Source organism: Homo sapiens, chromosome 8 (genome assembly GCF_000001405.40).
Source record: "Homo sapiens chromosome 8, GRCh38.p14 Primary Assembly".
Taxonomy (NCBI): Eukaryota; Metazoa; Chordata; class Mammalia; order Primates; family Hominidae; genus Homo; species Homo sapiens.
The window spans coordinates 18,806,671-18,827,787 of NC_000008.11; the positions used below are offsets into that span (position 1 = coordinate 18,806,671).

General features: G+C 40.0%; 1 protein-coding gene across 32 annotated transcripts in view; it reads right to left on the reverse strand.

Annotated features, from left to right (window-relative positions):
* PSD3 (pleckstrin and Sec7 domain containing 3) overlaps positions 1-21,117 on the reverse strand; it is a 557,503-nt gene that overhangs the window by 279,368 nt on the left and 257,018 nt on the right. For 3 of the 32 annotated variants that reach the window (NM_206909.3, NM_001412893.1, NM_001412894.1), the window contains exon 1: positions 2,085-2,197. The exons of 25 other annotated variants lie outside the window; for them this stretch is intronic. In NM_206909.3, the coding sequence (NP_996792.1) occupies positions 2,085-2,116 (32 nt within the window). In that variant the 5' untranslated portion in view covers positions 2,117-2,197. Of the gene's footprint in view, positions 1-2,084; positions 2,198-15,807; positions 15,898-16,475; positions 16,769-21,117 lie in introns of those variants that run through there. 4 more of the 32 variants (NM_001412891.1, NM_001412892.1, NM_001412886.1 and 1 more) reach the window with 3 other exon arrangements.

The window sequence follows — 21,117 nt, forward strand, 5'->3', positions numbered from 1 at the left end:
ACAACCTTAAAAAACCTAAGAGCCATGCCAGCTGGGCTGAATTGGGCCCATGGATGGGAGTTTATCTGCCCTTGCTCTATCCCATAGTTCTTTAACTTGGCTTGCATTAAGCACAATAACCATTTACTGTCTAAACCAGGACACTCTAAAGGGGAAACGGAGATAATAAATCCTTAAATATTCTATTATAATCATTACAAAATAAATAAAGAAGGCATTATCAATAAAAAAGCAGTACTGCTAATGGGCATTGTTTCTTTTGGGGTGATGAAAGCATCCTTAAGACAGTGGTAACGACTAAACAACTCTGAATATGCCCAAACCACCGGATTTTATACTTTAATAAAGCAAGTGATACAGTATTTCAATTATCTCAATGGTGTTATGTTTTTAAAAATCTGAACCTAAAAAATAGGTTGTAAACTTACATCACGAAATGACAAAAACCATTGTAGTAAAAATAAATGCATTTCTAAGCAGAACTGCTCCATCTTGTCACTTATTCTACCTCATTTACAAGTTCCCTTTTCCCACTGCTCTACCAAGGAAGCACTGGCCTTATGCTTCAAGGTCACTGAAAAAGCAGCCAGGGCTCCTGGACAACCAGCTGGTATAACAAGTAGCTGCAAAGTCTCATACTCCCTCAACCACCACAGGATTAGAAGGAGTTAACTGTCCTTAGCAACTCTTCTCCAAGCACACTTTATCGGCAAGCACCTGACATCCTGCCCTTGAAATGAAGCTCTAAGAATAGGGAAAAGAGAGAGAGTTTTTTAGACTCAACTGTGTAAAAATGTCAACTCACACATTCCCAGATGATACCATGGGAGAAGCTGGGAATACGAAGTTAGGTCTACCAAACCCATGCTGGCTTATTTTGCCATAGCTATTAATGGTAATAGTTCAGTTATTAAAACTCTAAGTCAAATACCAAACCACAGTCAATATCAATGGCAGAACAGCAGGCATTAACTGGAACTGACCCAGGCAAACTAACATGTATGGTAACCCTCAACACCTTGAACAGTTTCCCAATACACATGCCTACCAGTTAAAATAAATTGCTTCATTATGATAAAATCTCCATGAAAATACATTTTTAAATGCATGATTTTTTCATCCTACATCTTCCTTTATAGACTTAACATTACATGGCTGGGTGTGGTGGCTGAAACCTGTAATCCCTGCACACTGGGAAGCCAAGGGGAGGACTGCTTTAGCCCAGGAGTTTGAGACCAGCCTGGACAACACGGTGAGACCCTCCTGTCTATGATGTAAACATTTTTTTAAAAAGAGACTTAACACTACCATTCAGTTTTGTGAAATCTATCCCATCAGGAAACTGAATAATCATTATCGACAGTATAACCTATAATAAGAAAACTCACAGTAGAAATTTCTTTTAGGCAATTCATGGTTACTTTGTGTTTTCCCATACAAGTGACAGAAATGTAAAATATTTATTCCAAGAACTACGTTAATTACAATCAAGTACTTTTTATAATTATACAAAACACAAAACAAAGCCCTTGGAGTTGTGTTTCCATGTGTGCTTTTCCTATCATGTAGTAAAAACACATGTCAAAGAAAGGATTTTCTTCTTAATTAAACCACTACTCACTGCTCATTTCCCAGGGAAAATTCATGGCATTTATTTAATCATTCTGTGCAAACAATGTAATTATACCACATATACAGTACTGGCCCAATTTTGTTCAAATACAAGAGGCTTATTCTAATGAGAACACATTTTAAAAATTTATTACCCAAAATCATTCCATTCCTCATGTTACTCATTCTCCATATTTGCCCCTTTTCTACTATGCTGCCCAGTCCAGATGATTTCACCTAATTTTCCTCACATTCACCAAAACCATATAATTGCAAAATCTGTGTGCATCAGACTTTCTGGATCTTCTTCAAAAAGGTTTCAGTAAAAGGAGAAAATAAAGCACAAAGGATAAATATGTCCCTAGATGGCTTCATTCTGTCCATTTCACAGTTTAGGAGATTATTTGAACAAGAACCGGAATTGCTCCTTTTAAATCAGAAAGCTTGACAATATGATGGCAATATAAACTTACCAGCAACCATACAGACACCAAGAAGAGCCCATCGCAACCCCTGGGGTGCGCCTGGACCATCCTTCCTCTCCGAAGCCCCGTCCAGTATTCTTCAGCTCCCAAGTTCAGTGACTGCCGAGCCTCACAGCCTTCCAAGAACCTGGCTCCCTGTGAGGTCACACTACTATGACCTCACATTCTCAGCCGAGTGTTCATTGTTGCGGTTTCTGTAATGTTTCTGCAGTTCTAATAAAAACAGCAGCCAGAACACAAGGGCCACTGTCTATCGAGAACGTAAGAAACAGTGAGCCCAGCCTCGTTCACACTTGATAAAGCCAACTCAGTGATCCCTCTCGGAGGGGATAACACCCCATTTTGTTTTCTTGAATACACAAGACATTGCAGCTCTAGTCTGCTGAGCATTAGATGCGTTCTGTAGTTTGGATTTTCTCTTTTCTATGGTTGTTTTATTTTCCCTCTTTTTCTTGATCAAATCACTTTACAGCCTAGTAAGGTTGCAAATAAATAAATCCCTACCAGTCACTTAAATGTGTAAGAGACTTCCCAAAAGGTTCTCCCTGTGTTCTAGAAAATGCTTCCCTGGGGCCTTTATTTCTGACCTCCAAGTAAACATGGTAATAATTCTCTCATCAAAACACTGCATCATCAAATGAAGGACCAGATCATTGACTCTGATCACCATGCCTTCTCACAACCTTTTGAATCATACTAAGATTGGCAGATTTTCCAAATAAAAATAGGGTACCCAATAAAATTTGAATTTCACATCAAAAAACAGTGTCTAGTGTAAGTACGTCCCAAATACTGCACAGGACATACTTATACAAAAATATTATTCATCGTTTTTCTGAAATTCAAGTTTAACTAGGCATCTTATATTTTATCTGGCAAAACTTCCTGAAATGTTTTTTTCTAAACTTTATTTCAAGAATTCCAATAATGGTGTTCCATGATTGCCAACTGGTAGCTTATTCACAATTAGAATCCTTCTGGATTTTTTCACTTGTTTCTGCGATTTTATTCCTACTGTTTTTCTACAGTTTTATCAAGACTTTGTTGCCTATAATCTACTGATTCTTCTCTAACGTCCTCTAAATACAAAAAAAACAAAACAAAAACAAAAACACAAAAACCCTCCTCTGTGTTTTCATCCTTCTCTCTTGACCTGCATGCTACCACCACAAATGTGATAATGTAGCCACTTTACACAAATCCTACACAAGATCCATATTCTGTAGCATGTCCTAAGGCCTTTTCCAAGCTGACCCCAATTTCTTTTTTCAACCTGTCCTCTACCATTTCCCTCCTACTTGAACCACACAAATACAAGCTGTGCTCCCATGCCTTTTACGTATGTTGTTCCCTTTGCCACACTCATCACCCCCAGCCCTACCATGCCAAATTCTGTGAACTCTTAGTGCTATCTTTTAAAATCTCATCGCTTTCACCTACCACTGTCTTGAATTCTGGTTTGAATCCTCAACACAAGGGGCGGCTGAAGGTACTCAACAGCCATCTGCTAAGAGAATGCAAGAACACAGCCATCTGCCATGTCTACTTCCTCCACTGTCTTCCATGCTATGCTATCAATAATGGTATGTGGCACTAATTTTCCAATTCACTGTAGCTAATCCTGGAAAAAAACTGACATCAGTAGAATACTATTGCCTGTATAAAACAATATACTCAATAGTGTACTGTTTTACTTTCAATTTTTCCCAGAACTTTAATAAACAGTATACTATTGCCCGTTTCATACAGGCAATAGTATACTTTGAATTTAAATTTAAAATTTCTTTAAATTTTTATGTAATTGTGGTAATAAAACTAGGACCAAAAAGAAGTTAGGTTAAGGTGTCAAAGCTCCCTGTATGACCCTGTATTTATAAAGTGTACCCCAAGGGTTGTACATAGAAAATAATAACAGCCACCTAGTCGAGTTGAATTTTATACATAACTTAGGCAAAGGCAAATTAGAAGAATCTCAAGGAGTGAGAAGAAATGACTTCAGCTGCAAGTGGAATAAAAAGACCAGTGGGAACAACATGACTCCTTTGCCATTCTTCAGGCTGATGACATAGAAACACAGAAGACTGGAACCAACAGACAAGAGGGCGGGTACAAACGCACAGCTTCCAGGGCTGAAATACAAGTCAGAAGTAAGTACACCATCAGCAAAAAATAAGTAAAACCCTAAATCATAAATTGCCTCTGAAAAGGGAAAAGAAAATAATTTTGTCCATCATTATCTATGGCATTTATTTCCTAGGCATTGTAGAGAGCACATCATCTAATTCCCAAAGAAATGTAAATGAGAAGTTATTCAGAAGAGCCATAGCACCCACCATGGTACCATAAACCTAATAGGTTAACAATGGTTAGGCATTTACTATGTGCCAGCCTCTGGGCTTCTTCCTAGGGATTGAATTGTCAGTCTTATGAAACAGGCAATAGTATAACCCATTTTACAGATGGGAAAACTGAGGCAAGGAGCTGGACATGGTCAGTGAGACTCCAATGCTTTACTACTTTTATAAGCTTTACTACTATCCATTTTGCTCCTGCCAGTCATCTTCTGGTATGTCTGTCTTCAATGATTCAATGAATACGTATTTAATTCCCTATACTGTGCCACATATTTTAGGTGCTTGGTAGACTACAGTAAGCAAAACAGAATTAAAAACTTCTACCCTGGGTGGGGAGGGGAGCTAAAAATAAAGAATTTAATAAATAAGTAAATTCTACATATTAGAAGGTGACGTTTGCTCTGGAAAAAAATAGAGCAAAGATAGAAGAGGAACCCTAATTTGGGGATGAGGGTGGAAACATTTTTCTACGAAGTGGTCATGGTAGGCCTCATGGAGAAGGCAACATTTGAGCAAGATGTAAAGGAGATAAGCCTTGCAAATATGATAAAATAACAGCATTCCAAGCCCAGAGAAGGCCCAAAGGCTGCAGCATGTTAGATGTGTGAGGGCAAGCAAGAAAGCCAGAGTGGCTGGGGCAGAGGCAGTGAACGGAGAATACCCAGAGAGCAAATGGGCTTGTGGGATGGAGGTTCCCACATTTTCTCGACTCAGAGTCTTTAATATGTAAGTTTTTTATGACACTCCAAGGCCAAAGGAAATATATTCCATTTAGTAACAGAATAATAGTGTATAAATGCTTATTAAGTTTGGACCCAACAATTTACAGTCATTTGAAAAAACAATACATACAAATTGAAAGAAAAATCATTTTTATTATTAAATAACGATTGCTTACTAATAGATGTGTGTGCCTCTGGGCCATATGACTTCCTAAATCTCGGATCAGACTGAACACCGCCACTCATTTGTTTTCTCATAGCACTTAATTTTTATCACAACAACTGGTGAAAATCCAGCTCAAAGCTATGACGTCAAAAGGAATATAGCACAATCTGATGTTGACGCTGAACTAGCTGTTCACATGATGTTTGACAGATGATGAGGAGAGCTGTGTTTCCCTTGACAATTTAAATATCCTGAGAAACACCTGTGAGCTCACTGCAATGCCCCAGAACACCTCTGCAGAGTTGGGGAACGACTTTGTTGTTTAAAGGCCTTGGGGGCCACTATGGAGACTGGTTTTTACTCCTAGTGAAATGGTTAATATTGAAGGGTTCTGAGTAAAGATCTAACATTAATTTATATTTTTAAAGGATCACTCTAAGTATTGCTTTGAAAATAGACTGGAGAAGCAGGGTGACCAGTCAGGGGGTAATGCATGTGCCAGGGAGGAGCTGGCTTGGGTGGCAGTAGGGGCTATAGGTCCCGGAGGACCTGCCAACTGGTCCTTTGGGAGGGCTGAGAGAATAGTAGTTAAGTTTTAGTCCTGAGCAACTTCAAGGGTGGGGTTACCATCGACCAAGACATGAAAGACCAAAGTTAACACAGGTTGTGAGAAAAAGAAGTTCCATTTTTGATGTGTTCACCTTGAGATGTCCATTGGCTATCCAAGTAGGATGTGAGGACACGTGGAGATTTCAGGAAAGACACGTGCCAGGGTGCACTGCAGGGAATTCTCAGTCGCTGGCCTGCGGTGGGCCCTGGCATTCTTCTGTTTAAGGACCAAGATGATCCTGATGCACTGTCAGAGCTTTGAGTTACCCCTCTAACACACAGGAAGTCACTATAGGTCTAAAGAGAGGAACAACAATCAGACTTGGGTTTTGGTAAGATCAGTTTTGCTTGTGGTGTGGAGGGAAAACTGCAGGGACTCAAAATTGAGACAGAAAAACCAGCTACAAAAGGTATCAGAATAGTACAGTCAAGAGATGAGAAACTAAATTGCGTGTCTGTGTGAATATGAAGGAAAAGCCTCCTCCGAAAGCTATTTAGAAGGTAAAATGGAAGAACGGGATGAGTGGCTTGAGATGTGCATGGAGCTATGTTCAAGGGTGGGTACAAGACTAACCCTGACTTAAAAGCTGGTGGAAGGTGATGCCACCAAACAAGACAATGAACACAAGAGGAAGAAGAGGGAATGGGTAACAGTGTGCACACATGGAAAGAAACAAGCACTCGTGGAAGACCAGGAGTTTGGTTCGAAGAAACGATAGGTACAAGGTACACACAGGTTAACCAGGCAGAGCTGTCTGGTAGCAATGGCAACCATCCCCTGTCTGCAAGAATTCAGTAGATGTGAACTAGTCACCCTTATGTTGGTGGAGGGAATCACCTGGGAGAGGCTAGAGCACTCAACATGACCAAAGAACACCAAAGTGCGCCAAAGAAATATGTCTAGCAGTAGTGTATTCATTTGAATTCTGTTACAACAGAAGAATTCAGGGGTCTCCCTTCATTTGTTCAGGAAATTCTACCTGTGAGTGTTCAGTTTGCCAGCAAGCAATGATTATTAATTTAGAAGATGCCAAAAGCAATTATCTGCTGGAGAACTCCAGTTAGACCACCCAAGTTCAAACACTGGCTCCAGTGGTCACCAGTTCTGGGACCTTAGGTAGGTAAGGTCATCATTGTCTGTAACCCTTAAGGTTTTTAGCTATAAAACAGATAATAGTATCATATTCACAAGCTGTTGTGAAGATGAGATGAGAAGATCCATGTATGATGCTTGGCATGTAAGATGTCTGGCATACGGTAAACAAAAAACGTCTGCTCCTATCACCAGATCCATCTTCGTCACCAACACCACCAGCATCATTAAGGTTATGATGACGTGAGATAATACATGACAGCACTTTATTAAATATAAATCTCCATACAAATGTTAGTTAGCGCTCAGTAGGAATACTTAGGACAAACGTCTCAAATGAACCTGTTTTCAACAGTTACATAGAATACATTCCCTGGAAGGGACAGCCTCTTATGATTTAAGACTCTTTATAAAGGAAACACACAAAACCTAATTAGCAGAATTCCTAAGAGCTATTTCTCTGTTCAGCACAGAAGACAAAATTCAGTCTTCACCAATAAAAAATTTTAGTAAGCATCACATACAGATTCTGCCCCCAGCCCCACCCGCCGCATACCTTCCAAATCTCAGTCCTTTTTCTCAGCCTTGCTTTCACTATTCCAGAAGAGGGCACCCACATGCAAGGCAGTGCCATGGAAAATGACCCAAACTCACTGTATGAGTCGGGGAGTCTGCATTTGCTCCTGAGGCACTGGCTTCCAACATAACAACTGTACTTTTCACCCATGTAGGGGTTCAAACGTTTCTAGGGGCATGATGCAGGTTTTCACTTTTTGTTTTATTTACTTATTTATTTATTTTCCTATACTAAGTTGCTGCTCTTGTGGGATAGCTCTCACATGAGAATGTAATATGTGCAAGTCAATGTTAATAAACCCATATTACAATCATTTCAAATGAATAATTTGCAAAGAAACTCTTACTGGATATCCAGCTTTAGAAATAGAAATACATTTAGATGCAAACAAATGTATATGCTCATTGTTTGCATAGAAGCTTCTTTGGGCAAGGTAGGATCAGTGAGCCCCATTTCCGGTGGACAAGACAGGAAGAGTGACTCACTTACAGTCTGACCAACTCATTTTTCTGGAGTCTTCTTAAGATGCCATTGGACATTCTCTTCTGTCTGAATTTCTGTCAGGTTGAATTAGTATCAGTGTATATGCACTGGACATCAGAAGCTGGGCAGCAAAAGGCGGCACAAAGCACAAAGTAGACATGCCTTATGTGGATAAGAACTACAATTTTCATATCTTAAACAGTTTGTTTAGTGTTTATGTTAAAGAGCTGGGTACCCACACCACCACCAGTCCTTAGAATACTCACTTCCTGTCTAGTGCACAGGTAAAATATACTTATAAATATGAATTTAGTTTGATCAAATACTCTCCTTTCTTGATTAGGTAATAAATGCTACAATCTAGCCAGGGAATATTAGAGAAGTTCTGGCCTCCCATTGCTCCCACCCCCTTTTCTCTTCTAACTCTTCCATCTTCTGGGATACAAGAGGCTGAACAAATATTTTCTATGGTTATATAATGTCCAAATTTTACCATCTCTATTGGTATATTCTGCCCTTTCTTCAAATTCTTTTTTTTGTGGGGTTGGAGGTGTGGGGGATGGAGTCTCGCTCTGTTGCCCAGGCTGGAGTGTAGTGGCATGATTTCGGCTCACTGCAATCTCCACCTCCAGGGTTCAAGCGATTCTCCTGCCTCAGACTCCCGAGTAGCTGGGATCACAGGCGCATGCCCCCATGCCTGGCTAATTTTTTTGTATTTTTAGTAGAGATGGGGTTTCACCATGTTGGCCAGGCTGGTCTCGAACTCCTGGCCTCAAGTGATCTCTCCACCTCGGCCTCCCAAAGTGCTGGGATTATGAGAGGGAGCCACTGCGTCCAGCCCCTTTCTTCAAATTCTTACGACACCTTTTCCAGTGTCCTATAGCACAGGCGTTGCTGTGTTTCTCTTTGGCGTGTTTGGAACTGCGTATCTGTTCTGCAGTGTCCCTCTCCTGCTGACACACCCACTGACGACATGGCCGTACGGTCTCACCTTGCACATAACTTCACTTTCTCTTTATGCACGCTACAGGCAGTTTCTACAGCAGCAGCCTGACAACATATCCTCTCTACACTGAGTTTCCCCTAAGTGCTACCTACTACAACTACACTGAAAGCTGCTCTATGCGATATAGGGAAGGTTTCTTGGATTCACTTAATTTTGTGTGCAATGTTAAAAAAGAGGAAAGAATTAGTACCCTGGCAAGAATACAAGGAGTAAGACCCTCCCCTTAGGAAATAAAATCCTATCTCTGTCACTTCCTGCTTTCATCTCTTTAAAATATTCCAGCTCCCCTGGAGACAGATCCAAAGGGTCATCTTCATCTGGGGCTATGGGATTAACAGGGGACGTTTCCACTCTTTAGTACCCAATATGAATGAATTAGTAATAATATCAATAAATATTTTGTCTTAACATATTTTTATGAAGAATTCCAGAATGTTTACTCTGTTTAATACACTATTTTAAGCACTTTATACTAACTCACTTAATGCCCTTGACCTTACGATAGGTACTTCCATCATTCCCATTTTACAAAAAAGGAAACTGAGGTATGGTGCAGTTAAATAACTTTGCCATGACCATTCTGCCAGCAGGAGGTAAAGCTGGGATTGGGGCTCAGCAATGGCGGCTGCAGTTGTGCATTCAGCCTCTTAACTAATAAGCTATGTGGCTTTCTAACCGATATTACTACAGGTTATACTGCACGCATAACTTTGGTGTATATAGGAACAAACATTTCTACTTTTTAAAGGACATCTGTATATGTGTTTACTATGGTTGCATAATTAAGTATACACAACCAAACCTGCACAAATTTTCACTCCAATTATTTATTTAAACATTGACTATGTGCCAGCACATTTCTAAGTGCTAGGGGTGCAGCCTTGCCCTTGTGGACTTTTACCTTCTAATAAGAGAGAGAAACAATAAAATACATGAAGAGTTTTCCCTCTGTTCCTGCCTTTCACCCTCCCACAAATATCTGAACATGTTACGACTCACACACTGTTCCAGGTAAATATTAGGTCTAATAAAGCATCAACAGATGAAAGTCCTTGCTTTCAAGGAGTTTACACTCAGACAGTGACATTCATAAGTGCCTTGGAGATAAATATAGCTAGGTATGCAAGAGGAGAGGGAGGGGTTGCTATTTTATTCACAGCACTCAGAAAGTACCATGTGAGTAGAAAATAGAAGGAACTGAGGATGTGGCTTTGCAAGCTATCTTCAGATCATTTCAAACAAATGCAGGCCTGGGCAAGATGGCGTTTGGTAAGTTTTAAGTGATGGCCCAGAGGAGCCTCCATGGCTGGAGAGGAGTGAGCAAGGGGAAGAGGAGTTAAAGAGTCCCAAGGAAGGCCTGAATTCACTTACAATTTCAAAGTAGTCAATCACTTGGAAGCTTCAAAATTAACTGCCGATTCTCCAACTTCCACAATCGGAGAAGGTACAACAATTTACAAAAGGTTATTAGTATCATATATGTACTTTAGACACATGTTAGCTTCCAAAGTTCGTGGGCTGTTTCGCAGTTCCCCCTGTAATTCTGCAGTACCTCTCCATGACCATCACATCATCTAAGGGTCCAGACTCTTATCAATCACCTAATTCACCCTGTAGGTCATGGATTCAGAGCATACTCTCCCCAGCACTGTGCCCCGAGGGCTAGTCTGTGATTTTTCTAAGGCTGAATCCTTATCTTAATGAAATTTCTAACACAGCACCTTGGATAATGGCTGGGCTTTAACATACGCTCAGTACAACTGTCCTAAATCAAATTGCAAGAAGCTTAAAGGAAAAGTCAAACAACTGTGTACTCGTCTCAATGCAGCTATCAACTTGAGTAGAAGATGCCCAAAAGCAGTAATTCAAATGTTTTCTTTCATGAATCTGTATACAAAGCTGAAAGTTTCTGAGTTTTATTGTAAGCAATTTCCTTATTACGGAATCTAGAGACTCTGATCAGCGGAAATCATCTGCCAATGAGCTCTCTCTATGTTGCAGATCTTTTAATGCTTATCCCTTATTGTTGCCAAATGGGGAGCAACGTGAAAAAGTGGCAAAAGCAAAGTGGACAGAATGCAGCGGTGAAGAGGGGAAGGTCTTCAGCTCTTAATATCTAACCTAAGAAAACTAAAACCATGATTACTAAATAGATTATATGCATTACGTTTTTTGTTTTTGGTTTTGGTTTTTTTGAGACGGAGTCTCACTCTGTCGCCCAGGCTGGAGTGCAGTGGCGCGATCTCGGCTCACTGCAACCTCTGCCTCCCCGGTTCAAGCGATTCTCCCACCTCAGCCTCCCTAGCAGCTGGGACTACAGGCACCTGCCACTACGCTTGGCTAATTTTTTTCATTTTTAGTAGAGAAGGGGTTTTGCCATGTTGGCCAGGCTGGTCTCAAACTCCTGACCTCTGGTGATCCATCCGCCTCGGCCTCCCAAAGTGCTTGGATTACAGACGTGAGCCACCGTGTCCAGCCTACGTTACCTTTATGAAAGACAACTATTGTTGTCAGTTTCTACGCTTTTAAACTAGTTTTTCCTTCCCTTCATTTATTATATTTTAAAGTAGGGAGCTACTTTTTTTTTTTAGGGAGCTATACATGATCTTACTTTGCCCTTTGATTTCACACTAGCGCCTCCTAGAACCAAACTACCTGTAAGGCGAGGAGGGTGAGCGCTGTGTTCTTTAATGTGAATTAGATGTTATCTGCCATCTAACTCAATCTCAAAGTGTTTGGTATTTTAAGACTGAAATCATGGCATTTTGGAGGTAAAAAGAGGTTAGTGACATAAGCTGGAACAGATTCAGTTATTGGGCACAAGACAGGACAATCTGCTCTGCAAATAAACTGAGAATTAAAGAGACCCAGTAGACAACAAATTTAGTGAATAATGTCCTCTCCATACCCCCCCCAACAACCAGCAAAAAAAGGAAAGAAAGAATGAAGAGTCTTTAAAATCAGTTGGGAAGAAAAACATTGCATTTTCTGGCTTTCTAAAATGTGACAAGGCCTTTACATTTATAATCTTATATTAGTGACAGTCAGAACCTCCTAACAGATTGTTAGAGTAAATTTAAATAGGAATCCCCTTGGACTGATAAATGGGGGCAGGTGGGTTGGGGGGAAAAGTCATCCCTGCCAGGGCTCACAGGTAAACAAGCAGAATTCAGGGCATGTCTGCCTGTTACATCAGAGACCCTTGATGTGATCCAGAGGAATTGTGGAGTAATCTGGACAAGCACCTACCTCTAGGCCACAAGGACTTAAGAAAGTGAACTGGAGAACTTCCCGGCAAGACTACCTAACGACTGTTCATATCAAAACAACTGGTACCCAGAGACAGAACTCCTGACTCCAAATCCAACACTTTTTGTCCACTGCACCATTGTATACAGCAGAGATGACAAGGTAAACAGCTGTTGACAAAGCCAGGCTTTCCAGAGGGTAGGTTTAGTCAACAAATACTTTGACAAGTATTTTTCAAGGAAACTAAAAAAGACAGAGTCTAAAGGAGAGGATAAAGTAACAGGCAGCACAAACCAGCTTGAATCACCAAAAAGAATCCTTCAGAACCAGATCATGAGCCTTCATGAAGGGAGGGGATGAGGACAGAAGCAGCCAGAGATGCTACTCAATAGAAACAAAAAAAGCCCTCCCCAAACTCTTCCCCTGAACCTCTCCAGAGGGATAAGGCAAAAGTGCTGTTTTTGGCAAAACTATGTAAATACAAATTCATATTTCATTAGTTCCTAGACACATTTTTTAAATATTTCAAATTCTTTAAAATTAGAATGGATTTTTTTTTTTTTTTTTTTTTGAGATGGAGTCTCACTCTGTCGCTCAGGCTGGAGTGCAGTGGCGCAATCTTGGCTCACTGCAACCTCCGCCTCCAGGGTTCATGTGATTCGCCCACCTCAGCCTCCTGAGTAGCTAGGACTGCAGGCGCCCACCACCACGCCCAGCTAATTTTTGTCTGTTTAGTAGAGATGGGGTTTCACCGTGTTGGCCAGGATGATCTTGATCTCCTGACCTCGTGATCTGCCAGCCTCGGCCTCCCAAAGTGCTGGGTTTACAGGCGTGAGCCTCCGCACCCAGCCAGAATGGTTTTCTCATGCATCAACCAGTGTGAACCCTGGCAGCCAGGTGGCTGTCAGACTTTTATTACCTGTGCACAACGCAAAATTATACTGTTGGTTTAATCTTGATTTAATTGATGTTTACAGTGTCTTCAAAAAGATGCTATAAAAGGTACTGAGACAAAAGTATTATTTATGCAGGCAAGCATCGAGAATATGCCAAAGTCATTTGTATGTAAAAATCTGTAAGTTTAAGAATTATTAGAAACTCCAAGAGAAAGCACTGTGTCATAGTTAATTGCTGGCATTTTTTTCCTTTTTTTTTTTTTTTTCTTGATTTTGTATTTAACACCATTTTCTCCAAGTGAAATGGCATATTCTTTTCTGGCAGTAGCAGAAAATATATGAAAATATACTTTTAAATATGTAAAATATAAAATATAATAAATTAAGATACTGACTTATCTCCCAATCAATAGTATCTTAGATTCAAAAAATTTGATGTTGTTTGTTTTCACTAGTACTGTCATCCCTTGGTATCTGTGGGGTACTGGTTCTAGAACACTCCCCTACAAAATACCAAAATCCATGGATGTTCAAGTCCCTGATATAAACTGGCACTCAGTATTTAAATATAACCTATATACACTCTGCTGTATACCTTAAGTCATCTCTAAGCTACTTTTAATACCTAGACAATGTAAATGCTATGTTAATAGTTGTTATACTTTATTGTTTGGGGAATAATGACAAGAAAAAAATACGAACATTCTCAGTAGAGATGCAACCATTTCTTTTTTTTTAAATCTATTTTCCATCTCCAGTTGGTGGAAACTGCCAATGTGGAACCCACAAATACAACAGTCTGCTGTATGCAGTTGCCTTAAAACTCAGTAACATTTAATTCTGGTTTTCTTTTCTCTTTTGAGACAGCATCCTGCTCTATCACCCAGGCTGGAGTGCAGTGGCGGAACTGCAGCCTCAGCCTCCTGGGCACAGGCAATCCTCCCTCTTCAGCCTCCTAACTGGGACCACAGGCGTGAGTCACAATGCTCAGCTAATTTTTAAAATGTTTGTAGACACAGGGGCTCATGATGTTGCCCAAGCTAGTCTCGAACTCCTGGACTTAAGTAATTCTCCTACCCCAGCCTCCCCAAATGCTGAGATTATAAAAGGCATGGAGTCACTGCACCCAGCCTAACGTTTAATGTTTAAAAACAAGATTTTATTCTGTTTATTTTCATTTATAGGTCATGACATTCAAACAATGACGGCATAAAAATTCCTTCTGCTTTGGGCAAAACAAGGTATTTTGAAATTCTTTTTTTTTTTTGACATTTAATTCTAAAGTTTTATGGCCAATTCCTCAAACAAGACCATTCAAAAAGCTACAGAAATTCTCTCTATTCAACGCCTTTTAAAATGCTATTTTTCAGTGTAGCTAAATGAGAATGATATTTTGTAAGCACTGCTATTATTAGAGACTAAGAATACATTTGAGATTATTATTAGAATTTTACTTTTTCATTTTCCAAAAAAAATAATACCAGGTTCCAAAAAGCTGCACCTTGAGATTATAGGTAACTATTCCTCATGAAAAAAAATTACAGGTTGGATGAAATTTGCGTGAATTAGTTAAGACCAGTATTTATAATCAAGGCCTAACAAAATTACAAGCTCTTGAGTTTTTCCTAACAAAACTGAATAATATTGTTTCTCATTTGTGACCAGTTTCTATGGAAATGAACAATATTCCAGCTAATTCAAACACTGCTGCAGATAATATTAAATAGCAATGTCATTTTAATTCCAAAATTTTGACCCCCACAACACACACACACACACACACACACACACACACACCCCAATAACAAAGCTCCAATTCCAGGTGGCTCTTAAACTTCTATACCCATGGCTTCAAATAATAATTTTGATTTTAAGTCATAATTTAGCCTCTCACTTCAAGTGTTTTGAGAAGGGAATACCCACACACACATGCACACACATGCACACACACCACACACACACACACACACACACACACACAAATGGTTGCTTAGAGGACAACCTCCATCCTAAGAAAAAATAAGACTGGCAAGTAATCGAGTTCTTTAACTTCTAAGCCCCCGACTGCAGAGTCACAATGCACCTTAGTACCCTTAGCAAAGACAATAAAGACGTAAAAGTCCTTCAGAAAAGAAAAAAAATTTTCTTTGTTTCACCACCTTGATAATTTTTTGTTTACTTCCTATTTACTTTCTATCTTTTCTACATGCAACACACTCTTTGTGAAACAGGCATTCCAACTTTTGCTAAGCTATTAGATTTACACAATAAGGTTTTTTTCTACACAGAAACTTTGGTTGAGAAGGGGCCATGGGAAGGTCTTGTACATGATACAAAGAAATATCCTAAGAAGAAGTATGATGCATAGCCCTAAATAAAGTCTGTCCTGTGTCCCATCCAGTTCTCCAAAGGACATCATTCAGGCATCACTTGACAGCAGAACCAACCTGTGTTGTTCCTTTAGTAGTAGTACAGTCCATCCCCGGGAGTGTGTTCCAAGTACCCCTTCACCACCCCCTAAGCTGGACAAACATACTCTTAAGAGCAATACTCCACCTGGTGCGAGAATAAAGTAGAATCATCCTCAAATTCAACTCTTAAAATGGCAAAAGTCTGTGACCTGGCTGTGATGTCCTGTGTCAAACTGTCCCTCCTACGCCAATATCTCCCTAGCGACAGTCTCTGCCTCCTGACCTAAATGACATAAGCTATCAGTGTGAACCACTAAGCAATTCCCAACTATCTGCCTCAAGAAGCTGCATATCAGAGATGAACTCAGAAAACAGCTTGCACTCATGTTTTATGACTTTCAGAGAACACTGACATTTCAGAATGAAATTCACCACGGAAAAGTCATATGCTGACCTCCCTAGTATATTAACCCCATGTACATCTCATCTTCTCAAATAAAAAAATCCATGTCAGATGACCAGGTTCAGGTATTTTAAAGTTTACAGCACAAGAATATTTGCTTAAATGTGCTTCTCCTAGGTCCTGGCACTACCTCACTCCCATCCAGCACATGTGCTCACTCCAAAAATGGCAAGCCGATCCAATCAATCAGCTCTTGAAGTTTCAATTTAAGCTCCATTCTTTAATATTATTTCTAAAGCATATAATAGATAATATTAATCTGGTTTTATAAAGAAGGAGGAAAAGGGAGAATGGAGAGACAGGAAAAAAAAAAAAAAAACCTTATCACTTCAATAACTAGAAAAGCATACCTGAAGCCAAAATAGACCTGCCAGTCTGGAACTTCCCCTCAGAGGATACACTCCTTTCTTCGGAGTCTGCAGAAAATAAGATGCACTTTGGCACCATTCTTCAAGCTCGCTTTAAAATTTCTCCTTCAACTATAATCAAGTCATCTAGACAGTCTAAGTTTTACATTTTGAATTCCTATCATTGGAACTAGGGCTGATAAAATAAAAACTAAACATCCTTTAAATCAGTTAAAAGATCTTTACCCTAGCCACTCAAAATAAGAACAAAATACAAGTAAAGTGGCAATAATAGCAAAGGCGTGAATTCTCCCCTCCCCTTTATTCACTAGAGGTATGAAAAGTCCTGCCCTATTGATGATCAAACCGCCTTCTGGGTCCTGCCACAAGAGATCCTGAATTCCGCAACTTATCATTGAATTCTGCAATGTCACCAGCTGCAAGTCACCCAAGAGATGACGTTTCTACACCTTGTCACACAGTACTGTCACATGCTAGTCACTCCATAGCAACTAAAATACTTGCAGATGTAACTCTCATTGATACCATTTAAAACTTGCCTAAGTTTTTGGGAAAATGAGGACACCATACCTCCTCTCTCCTTACAATTACACATGGTGCTTTATCTTAAACACACTCACACACACACACACACACACACACACACACACACCCCATTCCATGTTCACAAGTGTTTCCTAATACGCTGACAAGGCGGCCTAGAAAGCACTATAAACTTAGTGGAGAAAAAGTGAGGTCAGGCATGGTAGCTCAAGCCTGTAATCCCTGCACTTTGGGTGGCTGAGGCGGGAGGATTGCTCAAGCCTAGGAGTTCGAGACCAGCCTGGACAACACCGTGAGACCTTGCCTAAATAAAACAAATTTCCAGGCTTATCTGTACATGTCTGTGGTCCTGCCTACTTGGGAGGCTGAGGCGGGAAGAGCACGTGAGCCCAGGACTTTGAGGCTACAATCAGGTATGATCATGCCACTGCACTCTAGCCTGGGTGACAGACATGGCCGTGTCTCTAAGAAAATCAGTAACTTTTTTAAAGTGAGACCCAGGCTATGTCAATTTTCCAAAGACACAAAGATACTTAGATATAAAGTTAGAATTAACCACATGTATCTGTCTTCAGTCCTAGAGTACCTTCCACAGTAAACATTCCACTGCCCTTATATAGTTGAAAGGAAGGCAACATGGTGAAGAGAAAAGAAATGATAAATTTGGAGGCTCAAGCCGACCAAAGTTCAGGTCTCAGCTCTAAATTATGTCACCTTTCTCATCCTTAGTTTCCTCATCTGTAAATACTAAGGATCAGAACACCTGCCTTACAGGGTTACTGTGGGGATTAAACAAAATCAGTAACTCAAAATTAGGTATTAGTCTTAAGATATTTAAGACTTTAATGGTTTCTGCTTCCCAGAATTCTTGATTTTACAAAATAGAAATAGAAAAATTAAATTCTGCGCAATTCCCAGAATAAATTCAGGGGCCATCTATCACTGGCTAAGGCATACACTTTATTATCTATGGTAAATGCTACAAAGAAATGTGTAGTGTTTGGGGGAAGCAGTGAATAAGAACAGAGATCAAGATGGCTTTGTCAACACCTGACTGCGATACAGATAACTAGAAGAGTCAAATTAGATCCCTAGGCAGAGTATCAATAACACACAGTACTTCAGCCAGCGTGCCAGGGCATACACGAGTCCAGCATCATCCTTTTAGTCAAGTATTTGAACAAACAAGAGGACAAGAATTGCCCTCTTTCCATAAGTCCCCCCAAAACAGTATTCTATAAAACCCTAGTGTGCTCTAGGCTCTGAAAAATCAAAGCTATAAAAAAATACACACATACAATGTTTTAACTTTCCAGCATTTCTCAGATTTATTTGACTATGAATCATTTTGTACCTAAACAGAATTTGAAAAACCCTGCCTTTCTGCAATACTACAATATACTAGTGCAGTCCCTGAAACTTATGTGTGTATTAGAACTACATGGGAAATTGTTAGAGGCAACTTTAGGTCCCATCTCAGACCTAAAGTTTGAGAACCCAAAAGTTAGTTATATTTCAAAAGGCATCCTAAGTTCTAAACAAATTTAGAAAACTACTGCACCAGTAGGTTTTTAGAGTTGTCAGTTGTGAAGACCACCAGACTCTCCAAATTCAGTGTCTGTAAGAGTCACCTGGGAAGCTTGTTAAAAACACACATGGCCAGGTACCACCCCCAAGAGTCAGATTCACAGGTTCTGGGGTGCAACCCGGTTTGAGAATCACAAATGGTCTAACTAGGCATTCAGTGTCCACTGGCTATAAGCATCCTCACCGTAACTACCTTGTATTTTATTAGAGGATAAATAATAATTAGGGATATGAGTGTTGAGGGGAAGAGAATCCTATTCACTGGTACAAATTAACTCAGAGGGTTTCAGTATTTTGAATGAAGATGATTTCTTCTTTTTCCAGTCCCAGCTCAAAGGAGAGGATGATTTAAGAAATTATGATTCATACTTTGAACATTACTGTTTTAACTGATCAATATTTTCAATGGACTGAGAACAACCTGTGAAAATCTGATCTCTTCCCTAACCTCCACACGCAACTCATTGCTGGCTTTAAAAGCATTAGCAAAATCAGCACATCCCACAGGGATCTATGTAGTCGATTCACAGTCTCTTCATTTGATCAGAATCAAGTTCTTCCGTATTTCCCCCTACAGCAAAAAGGTCCTGGGATGGTTAATTTTACGTGTCAACTTGACTGGGCCACAGGATATCTAGACACCTGGTTAAACATTGTTTCTGGGTGTGTTTGTGAGGCTGCTTCTAGAAGAGATGAGCGTTTGAGTGGTGGACTGAGTAAAGCGGATGGCCCTCCCCAATGTAGGTGGGTATCATCCAAAGCCCAAAGGCCTAAATGAATAAAAGGGTAGACAAAGTCTGAATTCAATCTCTTCCTGACTGCTAAACTGGGACATTTCTCTTTTCTGCCCTCAGAGCTCCTGGTTCTCAGGCTTTCATACTCAGACTACAATCTAAATTATCAGCTCTCTGTCGCTCAGGCCTTCCAACAACACCAGAGGCTTCCCTGGGTCTCCAGCTCGCAGATGGCCGATCGTGGGACTTCTTGGCCTCCGTAATCACGTGAACCAATTCCCTATAATGAATCTCATGATAGATAGATAGCACCTATTGATTCAATTTCTCTGGAGAATCCTGTTACAATTACACTACTCTCTACATGAACTGGACCCAAAGAGAATTGTATCAGTAGCAATTTCCCTTCTAACTTGCCTAGTCCAACTTACTATATGGCTCATCAAACAGCACATCTTATTACTTTATTATTACCTTATATTCCCTGTGATGTAAATAAGATTATTCCTCAAGATCTTTTGTATCTTTCCCTTGGGAATATAAATTGAAATGTTACCATCAAAGAAGGAAAGAGTCATATTACCTACAGCTGATTTTGGAACATCTACTGTGTTATCTTTGAAGTTTGAAGAATGCATGTCAGCCTCCATAAGTTTGGCAAAGGCCCTTTGGAAAGGCTTGAAGGTTTTGTTTTTGATTTTTAAAAATCTAATTATGGCTATAAACACCCAGGATCAACTTTCATTTTGTACTCAACACTGAGATGAATATTTCTAAAGCCAGAGGCAGTGTACTTTCTACCTTTCAAATGTACTGTAAGTCCTGGGCCTTAAGTGCTATAATATAATTAGTACCAGCTCATACCAAAGTGATATCAATGGTATGATAATATTATCAGCTCACACCAAAGTGATATGAATGGTATGATAATAGTATCAGCTCATACCAAAGTGATATGAATGGTATGATGGTTCTGACATTGTTTCGTACCAATATTAATGTCACAGTTAAGAGCAGCAGCTTAAGAGGAAAACAAAGTTCTCTCACTGATATCAGTTACCAAGCATGCATCCACACCTCCTGCCGGGCACCATATGAATAAAGAGCAAAATACAGCTCCCTATACCCAGAACTTCATAGTCTAGAGAGTGAACACAAACTCTGCACAGAAAACTATATGCAAGACAGAAATAATGGACCAACTAGTGCTTCAATGGGAAAAGGTTACACCACACACAACCCTGAACCAAAATGTGGCATTTACCAGGTGGAGAGAAAGGAAAGAAAAGTTTTCCCAGCACCAGGGATAGGTCACAGAAGACAGAGACGTGTAAGACTGAATGGCTTGTCCAAAGCAGTGCAAGAGCCAATGTCACTAGACTACAGGGTGCGAAGATGGGGCAGTCAGAGAGGGGCGTGGAATGCTTAGGCAAGGGAGCTAGGAAAAGACTTTAAGTGGGTACGAAAAATGGCCAGATTCAAGAGCGGTAACTAGGTGGTATTATGGAAGGTGACTGGATTAAATAGATAGATTAAATGAATTGGAATTTATAAAGTGCTTAAAGCAGTATCTGGCAAGTAAGTGCTATGAGAGTGTTTTTTAAGAGGGTGAGACTGAAGATGGGGGTAGGTCCAGTTAGCAGACTCCTGCAAGGGTCGAGGTGACAGATGAGAAGGATTCCATGTAAAGTAATCAATACAGGGTGGATGGAGCAGGATTGTGAGTAAAAAAGTAAAACCGGTTGAATTTGAGGCCAATT